Source organism: Homo sapiens, chromosome 1 (assembly GCF_000001405.40).
Source record: "Homo sapiens chromosome 1, GRCh38.p14 Primary Assembly".
Taxonomy (NCBI): domain Eukaryota; kingdom Metazoa; phylum Chordata; class Mammalia; order Primates; family Hominidae; genus Homo; species Homo sapiens.
The window spans coordinates 147,407,180-147,430,534 of NC_000001.11; the positions used below are offsets into that span (position 1 = coordinate 147,407,180).

At 39.5% G+C, this 23,355-nt stretch overlaps 1 long non-coding RNA gene and 1 pseudogene across 1 annotated transcript in view, besides 2 other annotated features; one reads left to right on the forward strand and one right to left on the reverse strand.

The window, feature by feature from the left end:
• The window catches only part of LINC00624 (long intergenic non-protein coding RNA 624), a 135,684-nt gene that overhangs the window by 24,988 nt on the left and 87,341 nt on the right, over positions 1–23,355 (reverse strand). The window lies entirely within an intron of this gene.
• OR13Z1P (olfactory receptor family 13 subfamily Z member 1 pseudogene) lies at positions 11,827–12,719 on the forward strand (annotated as a pseudogene).
• Positions 15,700–16,236: an enhancer, noted in NCBI's record as "H3K27ac-H3K4me1 hESC enhancer chr1:146894606-146895142 (GRCh37/hg19 assembly coordinates)". NCBI's record gives its function as "activates a minimal SCP1, AML or CMV promoter by ChIP-STARR-seq in naive and primed H9 embryonic stem cells {active_cell/tissue: H9 hESC(naive and primed)}" and the evidence as "EXISTENCE:reporter gene assay evidence [ECO:0000049][PMID:30033119]".
• Positions 16,237–16,772: an enhancer, noted in NCBI's record as "H3K27ac-H3K4me1 hESC enhancer chr1:146895143-146895678 (GRCh37/hg19 assembly coordinates)". NCBI's record gives its function as "activates a minimal SCP1, AML or CMV promoter by ChIP-STARR-seq in naive and primed H9 embryonic stem cells {active_cell/tissue: H9 hESC(naive and primed)}" and the evidence as "EXISTENCE:reporter gene assay evidence [ECO:0000049][PMID:30033119]".

The following is a 23,355-nucleotide window of genomic DNA, read 5'->3' on the forward strand; positions in this document are numbered from 1 at the left end:
AATAGAACAGAACAGAGCACTCAGAAATAATGCCGCATATCTACAACTATCTGATCTTTGACAAACCTGACAAAAACAAGCAATGGGGAAAGGATTCCCTATTTAATAAATGGTGCTGGGAAAACTGGCTAGCCATATGTACAAAGCTGAAACTGGATCCCTTCCTTACACCTTATACAAAAATTAATTCAAGATGGATTAAAGACTTACATGTTAGACCTAAAACCATAAAAACCCTAGAAGAAAACCTAGGCAATACCATTCAGGACATAGTCATGGGCAAGGACTTCATGTCTAAAACACCAAAAGCAATGGCAACAAAAGACAAAATTGACAAATGGGATCTAATTAAACTAAAGAGCTTCTGCACAGCAAAAGAAACTACCATCAGTGTGAACAGGCAACCTACAGAATGGGAGAAAATTTTCGCAACCTACTCATCTGACAAAGGGCTAATATCCAGAATCTACAATGAACTCAAACAAATTTACAAGAAAAAAACAAACAACCCCATCAGAAAGTGGGCAAAGGATATGAACAGACTCTTCTCAAAAGAAGACATTTATGCAGCCAAAAAACACATGAAAAAATGCTCATCATCACTGGCCATCAGAGAAATGCAAATCAAAACTACAATGAGATACCATCTCACACCAGTTGGAATGGTGATCATTAAAAAGTCAGGAAACAACAGGTGCTGGAGAGGATGTGGAGAAATAGGAACACTTTTACACTGTTGGTGGGACTGTAAACTAGTTCAACCATTGTGGAAGTCAGTGGGGCGATTCCTCAGGGATCTAGAACTAGAAATACCATTTGACCCAGCCATGCCATTACTGGGTATATACCCAAAGGATTATAAATCATGCTGCTATAAAGACATATACACACGTATGTTTATTGCGGCACTATTCACAGTAGCAAAGACTTGGAACCAACCCAAATGTCCAACAACGATAGACTGGATTAAGAAAATGTGGCACATATACACCATGGAATACTATGCAGCCATAAAAAATGATGAGTTCATGTCCTTTGTAGGGACATGGATGAAACTGGAAACCATCATTCTCAGCAAACTATCACAAGGACAAAAAACCAAACACCACATTCTCACTCACAGGTGGGAATTGAACAATGAGAACACATGGACACAGGAAGGGGAACATCACACACTGGGGCCTGTCGTGGGGTGGGGGGAGGGGGGAGGGAATAGCATTAGGAGATACACCTAATGCTAAATGACAAGTTAATGGGTGCGGCACACCCACATGGCACAAGTATACATATGTAACAAACCTGCACGTTGTGCACATGTACCCTAAAACTTAAAGTATAATAATAATAAAATTAAAAAAATAAAAAGAATCTGGGACCTCCCCATTCTCACTCTCTTGCTCTTGCTCTCACCATGTGACATGCTGGCTCCCCTTCACCTTCTGCCATGACTGTGAACTTTCTGAGGCCCTCATCAGGAGCTGAGCAGATGTTGGTGCCACGTTTATACAGCCTGCAGAACCATAAGCCAATTAAACCTCTTTTCTTTATAAATTACCCAGTCTCAGATATTCCCTTATAGTAATGCAAAAAAGGCCTAATACAGAGTTATTCAAGTCTCTTGAATAACTAGGAGTGGAATGGCTGGGATGTCTTGTAGGTACATGGAATTGTGTCATTTTTTATTCCCACAAGCATTGTATGAGAGTGTTTATTTCCACATGTTAAGAACCAATTCATTGCAATTTTCTTTTTTTTAGTAGGACGTAAGTTGAATTTTTTCAAAGGCTTTTTAAGCATCTGTGGAGGTAACCGTGTGATTTTTTTTCTTACTCCTATTAGTATTGTGCACTCTAATAGTAGGTTTCCTAACAGAATGCTAACAGGTTCTTGCATTCTTCGTATAAATATCAAGTCATGGTGTGGTGTTTTTTTTGAATGTTGCTTGGGAATCTATTTCTAAATTGTATTTCAGATTTTTGCATCAATTGTCATAAATGATATTGCTCTATACTTTTCTTTTTTGTGCTACCATTACCAGGATTAGGTGCTGATGTTATATTTATATCATTAAAATAATTTAAAAATTCAAAAAAAAATAATAACTGACTGTATATGTCAAAATAGAATAGAACAAGTGTAATGTTTCCAGTGCAAAGAAATGATTAATGTTAGAGGTGATGGATACACCAGTTACCCTGATCTGATCATTACATATAGTATACTGGTATCAAATATCACATGTACTCAAAATATGTACAACTATTGTATACCAATAAAAATATTTTTATGTAGGCATGTAATTTTTGCATCCATTTCTATATATTCTCTTTTTGGTACTTTCATTATGCAAATTTGTTATTTTTGTAGTGTTCCACAGGTCTCTGAGGCTCTGTTCATTTTTTCTCATTCTTTATTCTTTCTATTCCTCAGACTGCATAATATCTATTGGCCTAGTTTCAAGTTTCCTGAACATTCTTCTGAAACTGCCTTTGCAAAAATTTTAGCAGTGAGAAAAATCTAATCTGACTCCATCTTGCTTCTAACCTCACAAGCTAATTGCCTCTGTTAACTTTAAAATAAAGATGTTAACAGTCCCTTCCTGAAACTAACTCCTTCCTTGCTAAGGGACAAAAACCACTTTTGTATGACTAACGAAAGGCCACAGAATTAGGACTATGGGAGTAGCTTGAATTCTGCTAAAATATACACATAGTTAATGATAACAAGCCATTGTTCCCTAGCTTGCCTTTCTATATAGTTGTTTACTGCTCTGGAGATCACAAGATTTGTAACTTCTCCAATTGTTCCTGTAGATAACATGACTATTGCCAAAACCTAAAATTAGTGTTTGAAATATTTTTCAGACTGCGTATTCTGGTGACAAACTGATTCCACCCAGACCCATGACTTACAACAAGGAACTGGCTCAACTAGTCATGTGAGCCCCCACCCAGAAACTGATTCAGCATGTGAAGATAGTTTGTACACTCCTATGATTTCATCTCCAACCAATCAGCAGTACCCATTCCCTAGAACCCTGCCTACCAAATTATCTTTAAAAACCCTAGCCTCTGAGCTTTTGGGGAGGCAGATTTGAGATTATCTCCTGTCTTCTCATTTGGCTGGTCCTGTGATAATTACATTTTTACTGCTGCAATACCACTGTCTCAGTGAGTTGGCTTTTCTGTTTAGCAGGCCAGAAGAACTCATTGGGTGGTTACACTTGTCTCTGCTAAAACTACTGGTTTAACTCATATAGTGAATTTTTCATTTTCGTTATTGTACTTTTCAACTCCAAAAATTCTATTTGGTGATTTTTATAACTTTTATCTCTTTATAGATACGCTCTATTTGGTGAAACATAATTTTTACACTTTCCTTTAGCTATTTTAACATAGTATTTTCTTTTTTAACTTATTTTTAATAGCTGCTTTAAAGTCTTTGTCTACTAAATCCAACAGCTTGTCCCCCTCAAGAACCTTTCCAATCAAATGCAGTGTTTTTCCTATGTGTGGGCCATACTTCCTTATTTCTTTGCATGTCTGATTTTTTGTTTTTGTTAAAACTGGACATTTTAGAGGAGAAGATATTGTAGCAACTTTAGATTCAGATCCTCCTTCTATCTTCCAATTTTGTTGTTATTGCTTTGGGGTTTTTTAATTGACAAAGAGTATATATATTTATCATGGACAACATGATGTTTTAAAATATGTGTATGACATAAAATGGCTCAATCAAGCTAATTTTAAAAAATAAAATCCTGCTTGATGCTTGTTTTTTTCCATGACTTTTCTAAACCAATTCTGTAGATTTTGTATTTCCTGGAGTGTACAGCCACTGAGTTTTCTGATTACTTTTTAAAAATTCTCATTTTTACTTTCAAGCCTGTCTTTTTAGGGGTCACCTCTAGGTCAACATAGTTGGGTAATTATCCAATGATTGGTCAGAAGATTTTCTTAATGCTTTGATCCAGTGTCTTCAACGTTTTGCCAAGGAGATTTGTATGTGAAGGCACATCTTCAAATCTAAAGGGGTTTATAAGTCAGCATTAACATTTACTTCTTGCTTGCACAGGGCTGCAAGTTTGCCCAAATGTAAGTTACTGGATCCCTCTCTGGTTTTCCCTGGCCATGCACTTGGTCCTGTGCAGCATGTGTAGCCTTCTGGATCTCCAGGAATATGTCAGAGCTTTACAAAGTCCTCTGTTATCATATGACTTGTTCCCCAAGTCATCCTTTTAGATTTTTGGCCAGGCTCTTTTTTGTTATGGGCTGAATTGTGTTCCCCTCAAAATGGTGAAGTCCTCACCCCCACTGTCTTAGAACATGGCTGTTTTTGGAAACAGGGTTTTAAAAAAGGTAATTAAGTTAAAATGAAGTCATTAGAGTGAATTCTAATCCAATGTGACTGGTAATCTTACAGGAAAATGAAATTTGTACACAGATATGCACACAGGGAGGACAATGTGAAGACGGACAGAATGGCCATGTACAAGTCAAGGAGAAATATTATAAAAATATTGACAGTGCTCTGAGGATGGGGGTTTTCACAAAGCTCAAAACAGGTCAAACTTCTTCACTGGCTGCCAGCTCTTCACAGCTACCACCCTGGTACTAGGGGTTGGGTACGTGGGAATAGTTCCAAGTTAAAGCACCATAGACCCCACTGTTCTTATGAAGCTCGGCAGTTATATTTGAGTGAATGCTTTTCAGTGTGTTCTGTGCCTTTGGTTAATTTTCATAGTTTTAAAATGGTTGGTTTCTATTGGTGTTTTGCCAGTATTTTTGTTGCTTTTGTGGGAAGAGGATTCACTGAGGTCCTCACCCTGACATTCTGAAAGTGTTGTCCCTAACCTTGTTTTTGAAATATATTTATGTTGGTTAGACTTTTAGGTTGACAAGTTTGTTTCCTTTCAAGCTGTTGCTCCTTAAAACATTGGAAGGAAACAAATAAACAATACAGTCTTTTGGCTTGCATTGCTTGGATGAGAAGTCAGCTGTCATTCTCATCTCTATTCTTCTGCATGTAATGTGCGTTTTTTCCTAGTTGCTTTTAAAATTTTCTATCACTAGTTTTGACCAATTTGATTATGATTTGCATGGTGTAGTTTTCTTTCTGTGCCTTGTTTGGGGTTTGTTAAGCTTCTTGAATTTGGGGGCTTAAAAATTTCATAAAATTGGAAATTTTGGCTACTGTTTTTCCACATTTTTTGTTCCCTTCTCTTTCTTGGGCTCCAATGCATATTAAGGCACTTGCTGTCCCCAAGCTCACTGATGTTCTGCTCATTTCTCTTCAGTCCCTTTTTTCTTTTATTTTTTTATTTTTTGAGACAGAATCTCACTCTGTTGTCCAGCCTGGGGTGCAATGGCGTGATCACAGCTCACTGCAGCCTTGACCTCCAGGGCTCAAGCTATCCTCCTACCTCAGCCACCCAAGTAGCTGGAACTACAGGCACAGGCACGTGGCTGGTTAATTTTCATATTTTTTTGTACAGATAAGAGTCTTTCCATGTTGCCCAGGATGGTCTCAAACTCCTAGGTTTGAGCAATCTTCCCACCTCAGCCTCTCAAAGAGCTGAGATTACAGGCATGAGCCAATGTGCCCAACCTCTTATTTCATTTTGGATATTTTCTATTAGTATGACTTCACATTCACTAACCTTTTTCTATATCTAATTTGCTGTTAATCTCATCCTGTGTATACTGTATCTCAAACATTATATTTTTACTTTAGAATTTCAATATTTTAATATCTTCAATGTCTCTCCTTGTCATATACATAATTTCCTCTACTTTCTTGAACATATAAATGTATTTATAGTAGCTATTTTAACATCATTGCTTTATAAGTCTATAATCTGTGTCATTACTGAGTCTTTTAAATTATATTTTCTTTTTAATATAGGTTGTATTCCCTTCCTGCTTCTTTGTATGCCTGAAAATTTTGGATTGACGCCAGACACTGTGAATTTTACATAGCTAAATGAAGAAGTTTTAGTATTCCTTTAAGGATTTTTGGACTTTGTTCTTGGACACAGTTAAATTACTCAGAAATAATTTGATCCTTTTAAGACTAGCTTTTAAGCTTTGTTAGGTGAGCTTAGAATAGCCTTTTGCCTAGTGTCAATTTTGCCTCTCTACTAAGGCATCTAATGAGTCTACTTTGTATGTGTTAGGATTTCTTTGCGCACTGATTGGTGCAAAGACTAACTATTCCCAGCCCTGCGTGAGCTCTCCAGATTATTCCAACTGATCCTCTCTAATCTTTTCCTTGGCTCTCATGTGCTGATTAGCATTCTGCTGAAGAGGGAATTCTGTGGATCTCTGAGACTCTCTTTTTATGTGCATCTCCTCTCCAGGGCTCTGCCACGCAAATTCTAGGTACCTTGATCTCCCCCAAACTCTGAATTTTCTCTTATTAATAAAGGGAGACTACTGGGCTCCACTTATGTACCCCCTCCTTGTGCTGTGGCCTGGACACCCTCTCCATGCAGTGAGCTGGTGCATTCATAGGGTTTACCTCATTTGTTTCCCTTGTCTCAGTACTCTCTGTCCCATTCCACTCATTGTTTAATATCTGAAAACACATTTTGTTTTATCTTTTCCCCCAAGTTTTTAGTTATTAAGACAGAAAAGCAAATCTGGTTACTTTTATTCCATTATGGAAGAAGTTCCAAAACCTGATTATTTATTTATTTATTTATTTATTTATTTATTTATTTATTTTTTTGAGAAGGTATCTCATTCTGTCACCCAGGCAGGAATGCAGTGACATGATCTTGGCTCACTGCCACCTCCGCTTCCTGGGTTCAAACAATTCTCTTGCCTCAGCCCCCCAAGTAGCTGGGATTACAGCCACATGCCACCATGCCCAGCTAATCTTTATATTTTTAGTAGAAACGGGGTTTCACCATGTTGGCTAGCCTGGCCTTGAACTCCCGGCCCCAAGTGATCTGCCTGCCTTGGCCTCCCAAAGTGCTGGAATTACAGGTGGGAGCCACTGCACCCGGCAAAAACCTAATTCTTAAAATGGACAGTTGAACGCTTGGATTGGCATTCAAGGGGCTTCAATTACAGGAAAGTAAAGAAGGGCCAGGAACATTGTTTGTTGCTCTTTAAATCAAATGAGGATTTAAGATTCAACCGTCCATCCAGATGTAATGTTCAGAAGTCCAAGCAGTAGGGAATATAGATAGAACTCAAATATGTCTCATGTATGATAGAGACTAAATATGTCCTGAGTACCCCAGCTGAGAAACTATAACAAATTATCACAAATTTAGCAGCTTTAAACACCACAAATTTTATTATCTCACAGTTCTCCAGGTCAGAAATCCAAGTACAGCATGGCTTGACTTATTCCTTGGCTTGGTTTCTCAAAAGACTACAATTAAGGTATTAGCAGGATTGCGTTTCCTTCTGAAGGCTCTAGAAGAGAATCTTTTTCTAGGCTCATTCAGGTTGTCAGGAGAATTTAGTTCTATGTAGCAGAAGGACATGAGCCCCACTTGCTTTTCTGGCTGTCAATCATAGGTCATTCTCAGCCTCCAGAGGCTGCCAGGATTCCCCAGCTCATGGCTCCCTTCAAAGACAGCAATGGCACATTGTGTCCTTCGTGTTTTGGATCTCTCTGACTCTGCTTCTTCTGTTTCATCTCTTTTGCTGTATGTCTTCTCACTCTAGTTGGGAAAATGTGTCACTTTTAAATGCTCAAGTGATTAGATTTGGCTGACCCACATAACCCAGAATAATCTCCCCATATCAAGGTCCAAAGTCTTGAGTACATTTGCAAAGTCCACTTAACATAAAACGTTCTCAGGATCCAGGGTTTGGGGCATAGACCTCTCTGGGCATTGGAGGGGGTGGTGGTAGAATTATTTAGTCCACCACATCAGTGTACAGGATAAAATCCCCATCTTATCCTTGACCTTTATATCCCATGAAGACAAATGAATAAACAACTATAGTATCCCTGGGAGATCTTTGACTTTTTACCCTTGCTCTGTTACATGGTTTCATTTTGGAGACTGGGAAATATGTAAATACCAAATATCATCACAGAATATCAGAGGTGGAAGGAATGTCGTCAATCTTCTAGTCTAGCTCTGTTTTACAGATGAAGAAATTCATGTCCAGAGACAGAAAGATTCTCTGATGAGCTAATAGAGCTGAACATTTATTCTGGATCTCCATATCTTTGCCAATATGTGGTTTTATTAATTACATGACTATGGGCATTTACCTACCCTCTCTAAACTTCAGTTTACTCATATAAAATTAAGGATAATAATGGTACTTCTTAAAGGTGTTTTAAGCATTAAAGGAAATAAATATACGTAAAGGAAGCATGTAGTACAGTAACTGTACTTGGCATTTAGTAAGTACTGAAAATACCAGCTATTATTATCATTGTTATTATTATATTATTATTCTAAAGGTCAAAGCTGCATCAACACATAGACCCCTTCTTTTGACTGAATTGATTGGTTAATAATTTAGTCCAAGCAATTGTGAATTTGAGGTTTTATGTTATGTCACCACTTTTTCCAACATGATGCTTTCTGCTTGACTGATTTGAACATTTAGATAGGTGAGAAAATCTATGCTACCATGACTGAACTTTTATTTTAAGGTGATAAAGTAATACAATATTTATTTTCCATTTTAATAAATCTGGTAATTCATTCATTCATAAAACCAATGTTTATTGAGTGTCAATTATCGGTCAGGCAGTGAACAAAGTAGTCATGATTCTTGTTCACTCAGCTTATTCACCAGGGAGAAACTGGTAGCCAATGAATAAACAAACACAAAAATAAATATTACTTTAAATTCTTTGAAGGAAAATAATAGGATGCTGCAAGAGATTTAATTAAAAAAACAACTATGCTAGATTAGTGGTCACAAGGTTTCTCTGAGATATAATATTCAAGCTGAGACACAAAGAATGAGAAGGAATAAGCCATGTAGAGAATGTTCATGTGTTTGACGATGGAGAGGGAAATAAATACATACATTTGAAATATACTTGAGACAGAGAATCAACAGGATTTGCTGAAAAAATAGATATAGGCAGGGGATGAAGGAAGGAAGGACTCAAAGATGACTCCCAGGTTTCTGACCAGGAGTTAGGGAATATTGTGAGAAGGAAGTTTAGAGGCAGTAGGTAATTTTATCAACCACTTGTTGTTATTTTTATCAAACACTTGGTAATTTTATCAAACACTTGGTGTTATTTGCATCCTCATGATATTCAGCTATTTTAATTTTTAGTTTCAGAGGAAATTTTATCTAAAAGTATTGACAAAATATACTTCCTTACAGAATTCCTGTAAAAATATGTTCAAAAATGTAATTATAAAACAAAAAAAAAAGCAGATACAACTGTAAGGGTAGACCATAGTACTTATTTTATGAGAAATATGTGAATTCAATTATATACCAGTTGCTTAAAAGTGGATCTGGTAAAGTTGGTGAAAAAGAATTAGAGAAGGCAAGCCCATAAATAGAAAATAACGTCATATTCTTATCATAAATAGCATTTGAGTCAATATGAAGAAATATGCAGGGGAAATAACATTTTTGTTGTTGTTGTTCTTAATTTATTTTAAAATTAAAAAAATATGGAAAGCTTCACGAATTTGCATGAAACTTGAAATTTAAAGGGAAACTTGAAATGGGAGCAGTGGCATAATGGGGAGAATGTGTGTTGTAGATTAACTATGTTCACTGCTCTCTTACATATTACTTATTTAATCCAAACAAAACCTCTGTAATCCAAACATTCCATATTGCACATGGTCAAACTAAGGCATATAAAAGCTAAATAACTTGCTCAAGGTCAAAGCTGACAAGTGACAAAGGCATGATTTAAACCCAAGTCTGTCAAACTCCCAAACCCAATTGCTTACACCAGGGGTTAGTAAACTTTTTCTGTAAAAGAACATAAAGTAAATAGTTCAGGCTTTGCGGGTCATATGTTCTCTTTATCAGCTACTCAATTCGGCCGTTGTAGTATGAAAGCAGTTATAGACGATACATGAATGAAAGGGTGTGGCTGTGTTCCAGTAAAACTTTATTTATAAAAATAGGTGGAGTGCTGGATTTTACTGCTGACCACTGGTTTACACTCAGGAAAAAAGACAGCTTAGCAGTTTCTAAAGAAAATTGGGAATCCAAGATACACAAAGCTTCGTTTAAGGACAATCCACCAAGAAAATAATATCAGATGCAAATGAATGAGCTCTCAAGATTCCTAGAATTTGGGATTGTTATGGCACAGTCTAGCATATGTTTGTTGTTTCTGGTAAAGAGGGGGAAAGAGATGAATTAAAATTTTTAAATAATCCAGAAATATCACTCTACTCAGTTCCAAATTTGTCTTTCCCCCAACCTTTTACTGGAGCTACTTACTGGGAAACTGAATAGTATAAGTTTGATGTTTTCTTTTGTATTCTATTTGTTCTCTGAGGGATAGAAGAAGCCACTGGCAGCACAAAGGAAAAGAGAGCAAAGACGAAGAGACGGATGCTCAAAGATTTGAGAGGGTATAGGATGAATTCACTTCTGATGCTTCTAGAGTGGTGTTCTGTCATAATTACCCCAAATGATCAGAAGTTTCTTACACAAAATGGGATGCTCGGTGTATTTGTTTTCTATTGCTACCATAACCAATTACCACAAACTTAGCAGTTTAAACAACCATTAATTATCTCACCATTCTGTGGTTCAGAAGGTCAGGTGTGGCATGGCTCAGCTGGGTCCTCTGCTGAAAACAAGGTGTCAGCTGGGTAGGATAGAGTGAGACTTTGCAGAAGATTCTACTTCCAAGTTTATTCAAGTTCCTGGCAAAATTCAGTTTCTTGTGATTGTAGGACCAAGGTTACCTTTTCTTTAACAGTGGCCCCCTCCATCTTTAAGCCAACAATGACATGTCAAGTTCTACTTGTGATTTGAAACTCTGACTTTATCTTCAGCCCAAGAAAGATCTCTGCTTTTAAGGGCTTATGTGATTATCCCTTAAAAGGGCCAGTCAAGGAGTTTGAGACCAGCCTGGCCAACATAGTGAAACCCTGTCTCTACTAAAAATACAAAAATTAGCCAGGCCTGGTGGCACATGCCTGTAATCCCAGCTACTCGGTAGGCTGAAGCAGGAGAATTGCTTGAACCCGGGAGGTGGAGGTTGCAGTGAGCCTAGATCATGCCATTGCACTCCAGCTTGGGCAACAGAGCGAGACTCCGTCTCAAAAAAAAAAAAAGAAAAAGAAAAAAGAAAGCCAGTCAAATAAGCCAAGATAATCTCTGTATTTTAAAGTCATGTGACTAGTAACTTGAGTTACAACTGCAATTTCTTTCTGTCATGTATTTGAATAACACTAGAGGGTAAAGATCATTGAGGCTACCACACACTTGGTAAGGTAGAATTTGGTATTGTGACTTTTCTCACGGAAGAGAGAAGCTGGGAGAAAAAGTTTGGGGCTCTGGTATAATTCACCAACTGTTGTTTTTGCAACATCAATGCTGACTAGATTTCCTTCCTTACATCTGAAAAAAAATTTCTGGAGAGCATATGGACTAAGGAGAGAGAAAAATTCCTGTCTAAGAGAATTTTTCTGGTGGAGGTGAAGCGCGGGCAAACAAGTTAATAGACAATAGTGATATGCATGACAAGAAGACGGGGCAGAGAATCAAGAGAATGAGGGCAATACAAAACCCTATTCTCAGAGTCAAGCTACACAATCCAGAAGAGATGTCATCTAATCCAAGAACTAAAGGATGAGTAAAAGTTAATCAGCTCTCCTGATGTCTGTTATCATATCACATTATTATTTTATTTATCTCCCAATATTCATTTCAGTTGAGAAAGAATTCAAAGTAGAAAATCAAATGGTGGTCACTGAATTCATCTTTTTAAATTTTTCCAAGCACCCTGCATTACAAATGGTTTTCTTCCTGTTCTCCTTGGTCATTTACCTGATCTCTCTTCTGGGAAATGCAGTCAGGGTCAGTCCTGCCTTCTATACTCCAGTGGGTTATTTTCTTAGCCACTTAAGCTTCCTGGATATCTGCTACATGTCTACCACCATCCTGGTCATGCTGGTGAACTTCTTCCAGGAGAGTAAGACCATCTCTTATGAGGGCTGCCTTTCCCAGATCTTCTTCCTTGCATTATGAGCCAGCACTGAGGGGGTTTTGCTGGCTGCCATAGCTTATGACCACTGTGTGGCTATTTGCCACCATCTTCAATATAGGCTCCTAATGAGTGGAAAGGTCTATGTTTGTTTGGTGACTGGGTTTTGGATGTGTGGGCTACTCAATTCTGGGACACACACAGCACTGACAGCCACACTCACTGCGTGAACCCAACCCCATCAGCTGCTTTCTCTGTGCCATCCCATTGCTCCTGAAGCTCTCCTGCTCAGACACCTGTCAGTGAGTCTGTGCTCCATGTGGTGAGGGCCACCACTGGCCTGAGCCCCTGCCTGTTTATGGCAATGTCCTATATATTCATCATCTCTACCATCTTTGGAACAGACCACTTCAACTATGACAGGCCCACAGAAGGGTGCTCCCTGGACACAGACATCCTGGTCTCTGTGCTCTTTTGTGTTGTGACCCCAGTGTTGAACCCCATCACCTACAGCCTGAGAAACAAGGAGATCAAGGGTGCAGTGATGAGGCTGACAGGAAAACATGAATTCTCTAGTGAGGTCACTGACTAGATAATGTTTCCCATTCTGGAAAATTTCTTAATTAGAGAAAAACATGAACATTCCAGTGACTATTATAAGAGGTTGCACTCCGTATAGCATCTCTTGACAATTTTGGTGCCCCATCCCACCAGGACAAACAATTGTATCTGCGCTGAGAATTTCACACATTGCGATCTCATGTACATTGTGTTCTCTCCAGTGAACTGATATTTTAGAACATTTCATCATCCACAAAAGAAGCCCCATACCCATTAGCAGCCACTAATAATTTTCCCTAGAAACCTCCAACTTTAGGCGACTATATTTCTTAAGAAGAGTCAAGTGAAACAGTGGGAGTGGAGAAGGAACAAAGAAATCTCTACCTGGTTGTGATCAAGTAGTTATAAACACCACTGCAATTGGAACAGCCATTAGGCAACTATTAATGTACTTTATGTCTCATGGATTTGCCTGTTCTGAACATTTAACATAAATGGAAATATACAATGTGGTGTCTTTTTAAGACTGGCTTCTTTCACTTAGCTTAGTGTTTTCAAGTTTCACCCATGTAGCAGCATGTTATCAGTACTTCATTCCTTTTAATGCCAAATAGGATTTCATTTTATGAGTATACCAAATTTTATTTGTCAGTTCATCAGTTAGTGGACAAATAAAAATACGTACAATATGTTATCAAACTTTTTTTTATTTTTGAGACAGAGTCTCGCTCCGTTGCCAGGCTGGAGTGCAGCGGCATGATCTTGGCTCACTGCAACCTCTGCCTCCCAGGTTCAAGTGATTTTCCTTCCTCAGCCTCCTGAGTAGCTGGGACTACAGGCGCGTGCCACCATGCCTGGCTAATTTTTTGTATTTTTAGTAGAGACAGGGTTTGGCCATGTTGGCCAGGATGGCCTTGAACTCCTGGCCTCAGGTGTTCCATCTACCTTGGCCTCCCAAAGTGCTGGAATTACAGCTGTGAGCCACTGTGCCCAGCCATCATATGCTTTTAAGGGGTAGATATATCCTGACACTGGGTACAGTTCTTCTCAATTGTGAGAAATAAACTACTGGTAAATAAAGTTACCATACATTTATTCATGGTAAATAAATAAACTACTTACCACAAAGTCTCACTGAAAGGCTTGGATTTCTGGCTTTGGGGGGTGGGGCTTGTGCTCCCCAAACTCCTATGGAAAGAATACTCTTTGAAACAACTGGCTATTGACCTCCATGCATCATGAGGCAGACCTGCCCTTCCAGGAGCTGCCTACGGCGTAGTCATTGCCTAACGCAAAATCACTCCACAATTCATTCTTTTAGGGCCATCTATAAACACTTGGGGACTGTCCTTTTGGGAGCTGGTGTTTCCACTTTTTGTATATTATGAATAATGTTGCCAAGAATACTTGTGTACAAGTTCTTAGTGGACTTATATTTTCATTTCTTTGGGATACGTACCTCGGAGTTGAATTGCTGGGTCATATGGCAACTTCCAATTTTTTCACATTCTCGTCAATATTTGGTATCTGTCTTTTTCATAATAGCCATCCTAGTGAGTAAAGTGGTATCTCATTGTTTTTGATTTGTATTTCCTGGATAGCTGCTGATTCCAAGGCCTTTAACAGGCACCATCTTTGGGCTTCTTCACATCTGGAAAAACCCATGTTGCTAAGGGATTTTTGAGCTTTAAACACATAACTCTTAACATTATGTAATGTTTTTATCTTAATTTTGGTGCAGGAAAATACTGCAAGATTTTCAGACTTATACGTTCTCCACATCTGGGCCCTACAGAGCTGTTTGATGGCTCTGCCTTTTTCCCCTTCAGTAACTCCACAGCAAGCAGTGCCATCAGCAGGTCATGAGCAATGGCAGGACCAGAAATCAGGGGCCACGAAAGTCTAAGGGGTGCTTGTGGGAAAAAAGGGAAGCACTGCATGCAGGGGGCAGCCCTAAGTAGGAACCGCTTGGAGCCGAGACAGCAGACGTGCTGTAGTACCGTGGCTCCAGATACACGTCCCTCTGGTGGGGCATGTGGCATGAAGAGGCTAGGTCCAAGCAAAGCCCATGGCCATGGCCACCAGAACAAACAGAGAAAACTCCCTCACGTGTTGTAAAATCCAACCAAATAAGCCCACATCCATGCATACGCCTTCACTCACTAACTAGGAGGAGGACAATGCTGTCCTTCAGGCTTTAGCCTCCACAACTCCTGACAACAAATCCAGTGCCAAACTCCATTCACAAATGTCCCCAAAGAGATAGAAAGCTGATCTCCTCATTGCGTGCTGGGAAAAGATGATTGCCACGACCTTAATGAATCCGAGAGAACTAATTGCTCTTCATTTCTACACTTTCTAATCAAGCTGTTGACCTTGAGTTGTGTTTGTATTTGGAGGAGTCCCAGAACATCTGCTTAGAGAGAGATTAGATGGATACTCCCCAAAGGACAGTCCACAGGCGTTTATACATGGCCATCCTAGAAGAAGGAATCATGGAGTGATCAAAGGGGATTTTTGGTTCCTGCATTAAGCAATGACTACGCCGTAGGCAGCTCCTGGAATGGCAGGTCCCCCTCACAATGCATAGAGTTCAATAGCCAGTTGTACCAAAGAGTATGCTTTCCATAGTAGTGTGGGAAGCACAAGCCCCACCCCCAAAGACAGAAATTAAAGCCTTTCAGTGAGACTCAGTGGTAATAGTTTATTACCATAAATAAATGTATGGTAACTTTATTTACCAATCATTTATTTATTTCTCACAATTGAGAAAAACTGTATCCAGTATCAGAGTATATCTACCCCTTAAAAGCATAAGATATTGTGCATAACTTTATTACCATTTATTACCACTTATGTAATGACATAGGCTTACCATCATTTCCTGCATTATTCATTTCTGAAGTAGTAATGATAAAACCAGAGTTGAAATGACCTTAGAGATTATCTACTTGAAAGCCTGATAGATGCCTGAATTCCTCAAGTGGTGTGAGTGGAAAATATATTTACAGTTAATAATATGCAGTATAATATAAAATATTACTCCTACTCTAATTTTGACAATCAGGATAGTAGCAATAGCTTTCAGGGAAAAAGCACAGGGTTACATTTCTCCTTTGATACATTGTAGTATGACAGCAGGGGCACACAAAAATTTGTTTAAAGAAAATGTAATTAAATTTTCCTAACACTTTTATTTGGATACTTTGTTCACTCTACTAGGGGTTCTTATCTTTACGTTGTAACACCTCAGTGCTTGCCAGGTGTGTTACAAGCCACTTTGGAATAATCAAGCTCTGAAGTTTGTGAATGATTTACTTCTCTCACAATCCCTTTTAAAAGAAACCTTGGGGGAGGAGCCAAGATGGCCGAATAGGAACAGCTCCGGTCTACAGCTCCCAGCGTGAGCGACGCAGAAGACGGGTGATTTCTACATTTCCATATGAGGTACCGGGTTCATCTCACTAGGGAGTGCCAGACAGTGGGCGCAGGTCAGTGGGTGCGTGCACCGTGCGCGAGCCGAAGCAGGGTGAGGCATTGCCTCACTTGGGAAGCGCAAGGGGTCAGGGAGTTCCCTTTCCTAGTCAAAGAAAGGGGTGACGGAGGCACCCGGAAAATCGGGTCACTCCCACCCGAATACTGCGCTTTTCCGACCAGCTTAAAAAACGGCCCACCACGAGATTATATCCCCCACCTGGCTCGGAGGGTCCTACGCCCACGGAGTCTCGCTGATTGCTAGCACAGCAGTCTGAGATCAAACTGCAAGGCAGCAGCGAGGCTGGGGGAGGGGCGCCGGCCATTGCCCAGGCTTGCTTAGGTAAACAAAGCAGCCAGGCAGCTCGAACTGGGTGGAGCCCACCACAGCTCAAGGAGGCCTGCCTGCCTCTGTAGGCTCCACCTCTGGGGGCAAGGCACAGACAAACAAAAAGACAGCAGTAACCTCTGCAGACTTAAATGTCCCTGTCTGACAGCCTTGAAGAGAGCAGTGGTTCTCCCAGCACGCAGCTGGAGATCTGAGAACGGGCAGACTGCCTCCTCAAATAGGTCCCTGACCCCTGACTCCCGAGCAGCCTAACTGGGAGGCACCCCCCAACAGGGGCACACTGACACCTCACATGGCAGGGTATTCCAACAGACCTGCAGCTGAGGGTCCTCTCTGTTAGAAGGAAAACAAACAGAAAGGACATCCACACCAAAAACCCATCTGTACATCACCATCATCAAAGACCAAAAGTAGATACAACCACAAAGATGGGGAAAAAACAGAACAGAAAAACTGGAAACTCTAAAAAGCAGAGTGCCTCTCCTCCTCCAAAGGGACGCAGTTCCTCACCAGCAACAGAACAAAGCTGGATGGAGAATGACTTTGACGAGCTGAGAGAAGAAGGCTTCAGACGATCAAATTACTCTGAGCTACGGGAGGACATTCAAACCAAAGGCAAAGAAGTTGAAAACTTTGAAAAAAATTTAGAAGAATGTATAACTAGAATAACCAATACAGAGAAGTGCTTAAAGGAGCTGATGGAGCTGAAAACCAAGGCTCGAGAACTACGTGAAGAATGCAGAAGCCTCAGGAGCCGATGCGATCAACTGGAAGAAAGGGTATCAGCAATGGAAGATGAAATGAATGAAATGAAGTGAGAAGGGAAGTTTAGAGAAAAAAGAATAAAAAGAAATCAGCAAAGCCTCCAAGAAATATGGGACTATGTGAAAAGACCAAATCTATGTCTGATTGGTGTACCTGAAAGTGACGGGGAGAATGGAACCAAGTTGGAAAACACTCTGCAGGATATTATCCAGGAGAACTTCCCCAATCTAGCAAGGCAGGCCAACATTCAGATTCAGGAAATACAGAGAACGCCACAAAGATACTCCTCGAGAAGAGCAACTCCAAGACACATATAATTGTCAGATTCACCAAAGTTGAAATGAAGGAAAAAATGTTAAGGGCAGCCAGAGAGAAAGGTCGGGTTACCCTCAAAGGGAAGCCCATCAGACTAACAGCTGATCTCTCAGCAGGAACCCTACAAGCCAGAAGAGAGTGGGGGCCAATATTCAACATTCTTAAAGAAAGGAATTTTCAACCCAGAATTTCATATCCAGCCAAACTAAGCTTCATAAGCGAAGGAGAAATAAAATACGTTACAGACAAGCAAATGCTGAGAGATTTTGTCACCACCAGGCCTGCCCTAAAAGAGCTCCTGAAGGAAGCGCTAAACATGGAAAGGAACAACCGGTACCAGCCGCTGCAAAAACATGCCAAAATGTAAAGACCATCAAGACTAGGAAGAAACTGCATCAACTAATGAGCAAAATAACCAGCTAACAACATAATGACAGGATCAAATTCACACATAACAATATTAACTTTAAATGTAAATGGACTAAATGCTCCAATTAAAAGACACAGACTGGCAAATTGGATAAAGAGTCAAGACCTATCAGTGTGCTGTATTCAGGAAACCCATCTCATGTGCAGAGACACACATAGGCTCAAAATAAAAGGATGGAGGAAGATCTACCAAGCAAATCAAAAACAAAAAAAGGCAGGGGTTGCAATCCTAGTCTCTGATAAAACAGACTTTAAACCAACAAAGATCAAAAGAGACAAAGGCGGCCATTACATAATGGTAAAGGGATCAATTTAACAAGAAGAGCTAACTATCCTAAATATATATGCACCCAATACAGAAGCACCCAGATTCATAAAGCAAGTCCTTAGTGACCTACAAAGAGACTTAGACTCCCACACAATAATAATGGGAGACTTTAACACCCCACTGTCAACATTAGACAGATCGACAAGACAGAAAGTTAACAAGGATACCCAGGAATTGAACTCAGCTCTGCACCAAGCGGACCTAATAGACATCTACAGAACTCTCCACCCCAAATCAACAGAATATACACTTTTTTCAGCACCACACCACACCTATTCCAAAATTGACCACATACTTGGAAGTAAAGCTCTCCTCAGCAAATGTAAAAGAACAGAGATTATAACAAACTATCTCTCAGACCACAGTGCAATCAAACTAGAACTCAGGATTAAGAATCTCACTCAAAACCGCTCAACTACATGGAAACTGAACAACCTGCTCCTGAATGACTACTGGGTACATAACGAAATGAAGGCAGAAATAAAGATGTTCTTTGAAACCAACGAGAACAAAGACACAACATACCAGAATCTCTGGGACGCATTCAAAGCAGTGTGTAGAGGGAAATTTATAGCACTAAATGCCCATAAGAGAAAGCAGGAAAGATCCAAAATTGACACCCTAACATCACAATTAAAAGAACTAGAAAAGCAAGAGCAAACACATTCAAAAGCTAGCAGAAGGCAAGAAATAACTAAAATCAGAGCAGAACTGAAGGAAATAGAGACACAAAAAACCCTTCAAAAAATTAATGAATCCAGGAGCTGCTTTTTTGAAAGGATCAACAAAATTGATAGACTGCTAGCAAGACTAATAAAGAAAAAAAGAGAAGAATCAAATACACGCAATAAAAAATGATAAAGGGGATATCACCACCGATCCCACAGAAATACAAACTGCCATCAGAGAATACTACGAACACCTCTATGCAAATAAACTAGAAAATCTAGAAGAAATGGATAAATTCCTCGACACATACACTGTCCCAAGACTAAACCAGGAAGAAGTTGAATCTCTGAATAGACCAATAACAGGATCTGAAATTGTGGCAATAATCAATAGCTTACCAACCAAAAAGAGTCCAGGACCAGATGGATTCACAGCCGAATTCTACTAGAGGTACAAGGAGGAACTGGTACCATTCCTTCTGAAACTATTCCAATCAATAGAAAAAGAGGGAATCCTCCCTAACTCATTTTATGAGGCCAGCATCATCCTGATACCAAAGCCGGGCAGAGACACAACCAAAAAAGAGAATTTTAGACCAATATCCTTGATAAACATTCATGCAAAAATCCTCAATAAAATACTGGCAAAACGAATCCAGCAGCACATCAAAAAGCTTATCCACCATGATCAAGTGGGATTCATCCCTGGGATGCAAGGCTGGTTCAATATACTCAAATCAATAAATGTAATCCAGCATATAAACAGAGCCAAAGACAAAAACCACATGATTATCTCAATAGATGCAGAAAAAGCCTTTGACAAAATTCAACAACTCTTCATGCTAAAAACTCTCAATAAATTAGGTATTGATGGGACATATTTCAAAATAATAAGAGCTATCTATGACAAACCCACAGCCAATATCATACTGAATGGGCAAAAACTGGAAGTATTCCCTTTGAAAACTGGCACAAGACAGGGATGCCCTCTCTCACCACTCCTATTCAACATAGTGTTGGAAGTTCTGGCCAGGGCAATTAGGCAGGAGAAGGAAATAAAGGGTATTCAATTAGGAAAAGAGGAAGTCAAATTGTCCCGGTTTGCAGATGACATGATTGTATATCTAGAAAACCCCATTGTCTCAGCCCAAAATCTCCTTAAGCTGATAAGCAACTTCAGCAAAGTCTCAGGATACAAAATCAATGTACAAAAATCACAAGCCTTCTTATACACCAACAACAGACAAACAGAAAGCCAAATCATGAGTGAACTCCCATTCACAATTGCTTCAAAGAGAATAAAATACCTAGGAATCCAACTTACAAGGGATGTGAAGGACCTCTTCAAAGAGAACTACAAACCACTGCTCAAGGAAATAAAAGAGGATACAAACAAATGGAAGAATATTCCATGCTCATGGGTAGGAAGAATCAATATCATGAAAATGGCCATACTGCCCAAGGTAATTTACAGATTCAATGCCATCCCCATCAAGCTACCAATGACTTTCTTCACAGAATTGGAAAAAACTACTTTAAAGTTCATATGGAACCAAAAAAGAGCCTGCATCACCAAGTCAATCCTAAGCCAAAAGAACAAAGCTGGAGGCATCACGCTACCTGGCATCAAACTATCCTACAAGGCTACAATAACCAAAACAGCATGGTACTGGTACCAAAACAGAGATATAGATCAATGGAACAGAACAGAGCCCTCAGAAATAACGCCGCATATCTACAACTATCTGATCTTTGACAAACCTGAGAAAAACAAGCAATGGGGAAAGGATTCCCTATTTAATAAATGGTGCTGGGAAAACTGGCTAGCCATATGTACAAAGCTGAAACTGGATCCCTTCCTTACACCTTATACAAAAATCAATTCAAGATGGATTAAAGACTGACATGTTAGACCTAAAACCATAAAAACCCTAGAAGAAAACCTAGGCACTACCATTCAGGACATAGGCATGGGCAAGGACTTCATGTCTAAAACACCAAAAGCAATGGCAACAAAAGCCAAAATTGACAAATGGGATCTAATTAAACTAAAGAGCTTCTGCACAGCAAAAGAAACTACCATTAGAGTGAACAGGCAACCTACAAAATGGGAGAAAATTTTCGCAACCTACTCATCTGACAAAGGGCTAATATCCAGAATCTACAATGAACTCAAACAAATTTAAAAGAAAAAAACAAACAACGCCATCAAAAAGTGGGCGAAGGACATGAACAGACACTTCTCAAAAGATGACATTTATGCAGCCAAAAAACACATGAAAAAATGCTCATCATCACTGGCCATCAGAGAAATGCAAATCAAAACCACAATGAGATACCATCTCACACCAGTTAGAATGGCAATCATTAAAAAGTCAGGAAAGAACAGGTACTGGAGAGGATGTGGAGAAATAGGAACACCTTTACACTGTTGGTAGGACTGTAAACTAGTTCAACCATTGTGGAAGTCAGTGCGGTGATTCCTCAGGGATCTAGAACTAGAAATACCATTTGACCCATCCATCCCATTACTGGGTATATACCCAAAGGACTATAAATCATGCTGCTATAAAGACACATGCAGACGTATGTTTATTGCGGCATTATTCACAATAGCAAAGACTTGGAACCAACCCAAATGTCCAACAATGATAGACTGGATTAAGAAAATGTGGCACATATACACCATGGAATACTATGCAGCCATAAAAAATGACGAGTTCATGTCCTTTGTAGGGACATGGATGAAATTGGAAATCATGATTCTCAGTAAACTATCGCAAGAACAAAAAACCAAACACCACATATTCTCACTCATAGGTGGGAATTGAACAATGAGATCACATGGACACAGGAAGGGGAATATCACACTCTGGGGACTGTTGTGGGGTGGGGGAAGGGGAGAGGGATAGCATTGGGAGATATACCGAATGCTAGATGACGAGTTAGTGGGTACAGCGCACCAGCATGGCACATGTATACATATGTGACTAACCTGCACAATGTGCATATGTACCCTAAAACTTAAAGTGTAATAAAAACAATAATAAAATAAAATAAAAAATAAAAGAAACCTTGAGGTTATTCCTAAATAATTTTATTCCCAATCATTTGCCTTAGAGATTATTGATTGATTGGGAAAGAGGCAGGATTGCTGCTCTCTGGCTGGGAACTGAGCAGAACGTGCCACATGGTCTCCATTGCAACCATTGCTCTTACAGGGCCATGGTGCCACATTTATGCCCCAGCAGGCTCATCTTTTCCTCAGGTCTCTAAGATGTTTTCACCAGAACTGCTGAACAGAAATGCCCTTCAGAGGTCAGCTGAGATGTTCCTTCTTAATTTTCTTTCTCTGCAGGTCTGACTAAAGTGCTGGATTATTTTATCTTTCCTGTTCCCCTGACTTCCACTTGACTTGTTTGTGAACAGCGTTTGTGCCTCAAGCTTTGGGTCTCTATTCAGCTTCAGTAGACAGGGAGTCTGGATGCCATTAGGAGTATCAAGCTCTGTGATGCCAGGGTCAAGGATGTGAGGCACCTCTCATAGGTAGGGCGTTGGAGGCCAGTCCTTCTCCACTCTGACATACATGTTCATGAGAAGGGGCTCAGAATTTGACAGTGGTTCTATGCTGTCAAGGTCACAGGCTGGAGAAGAAGTGCAATTTTCTGTGAGACCCCTATAGAGTTACCCTCCTCTCCAAGCTGAGACTAAGTACGCAGGTTAAGAAACGCCAATCTATGTCATGTTCGAGGCAGAGACAGATGTTGAGAAATCCGTGCCTGATAAACACTACATACTATGATGCTGGGGCTCCCTTGGGGTAGGGGCAATTGGTGGAAAAATAAAATAGCTAATCATTTAAATCATTTTTATAATTATAAATCCAAGAACTTGGTTTAACTGATCTTATGAGTAATTTCTTTTCATAGTGTGTGGCTTTTTTGGTGCGAATTTGCTTGAACTTTTAGGAAATTAAAAAGTTGTAGATATTTCCCTGATTTGCTCCTCTCTTTATTTCTTATTCCACAAAACATTTTTTTTGCAGGACAGTGAACTGGAAAAATTATGTTCTTCAATGTCAGATGGACAGGATTAAATTCTAGCATCTTGTAATTGCAGTTGTACAGCCTTAAGCATCAAATTCCTCACTTGCTAACCCTAATAAAATCTATATTATGATAGATAAGAGATAATGTGTTCAAAGCAGCCAGCATCAATAAACAGCAGCTACCGTTATACTTGGGCTATTGTTATCATGAATCCCAGGGCTTTTGAAGAGGGCTATGAAAGGATGCAAAGAATGTTGGAAGTGTTGGTGAAGCTGGCTTTTTTTATTT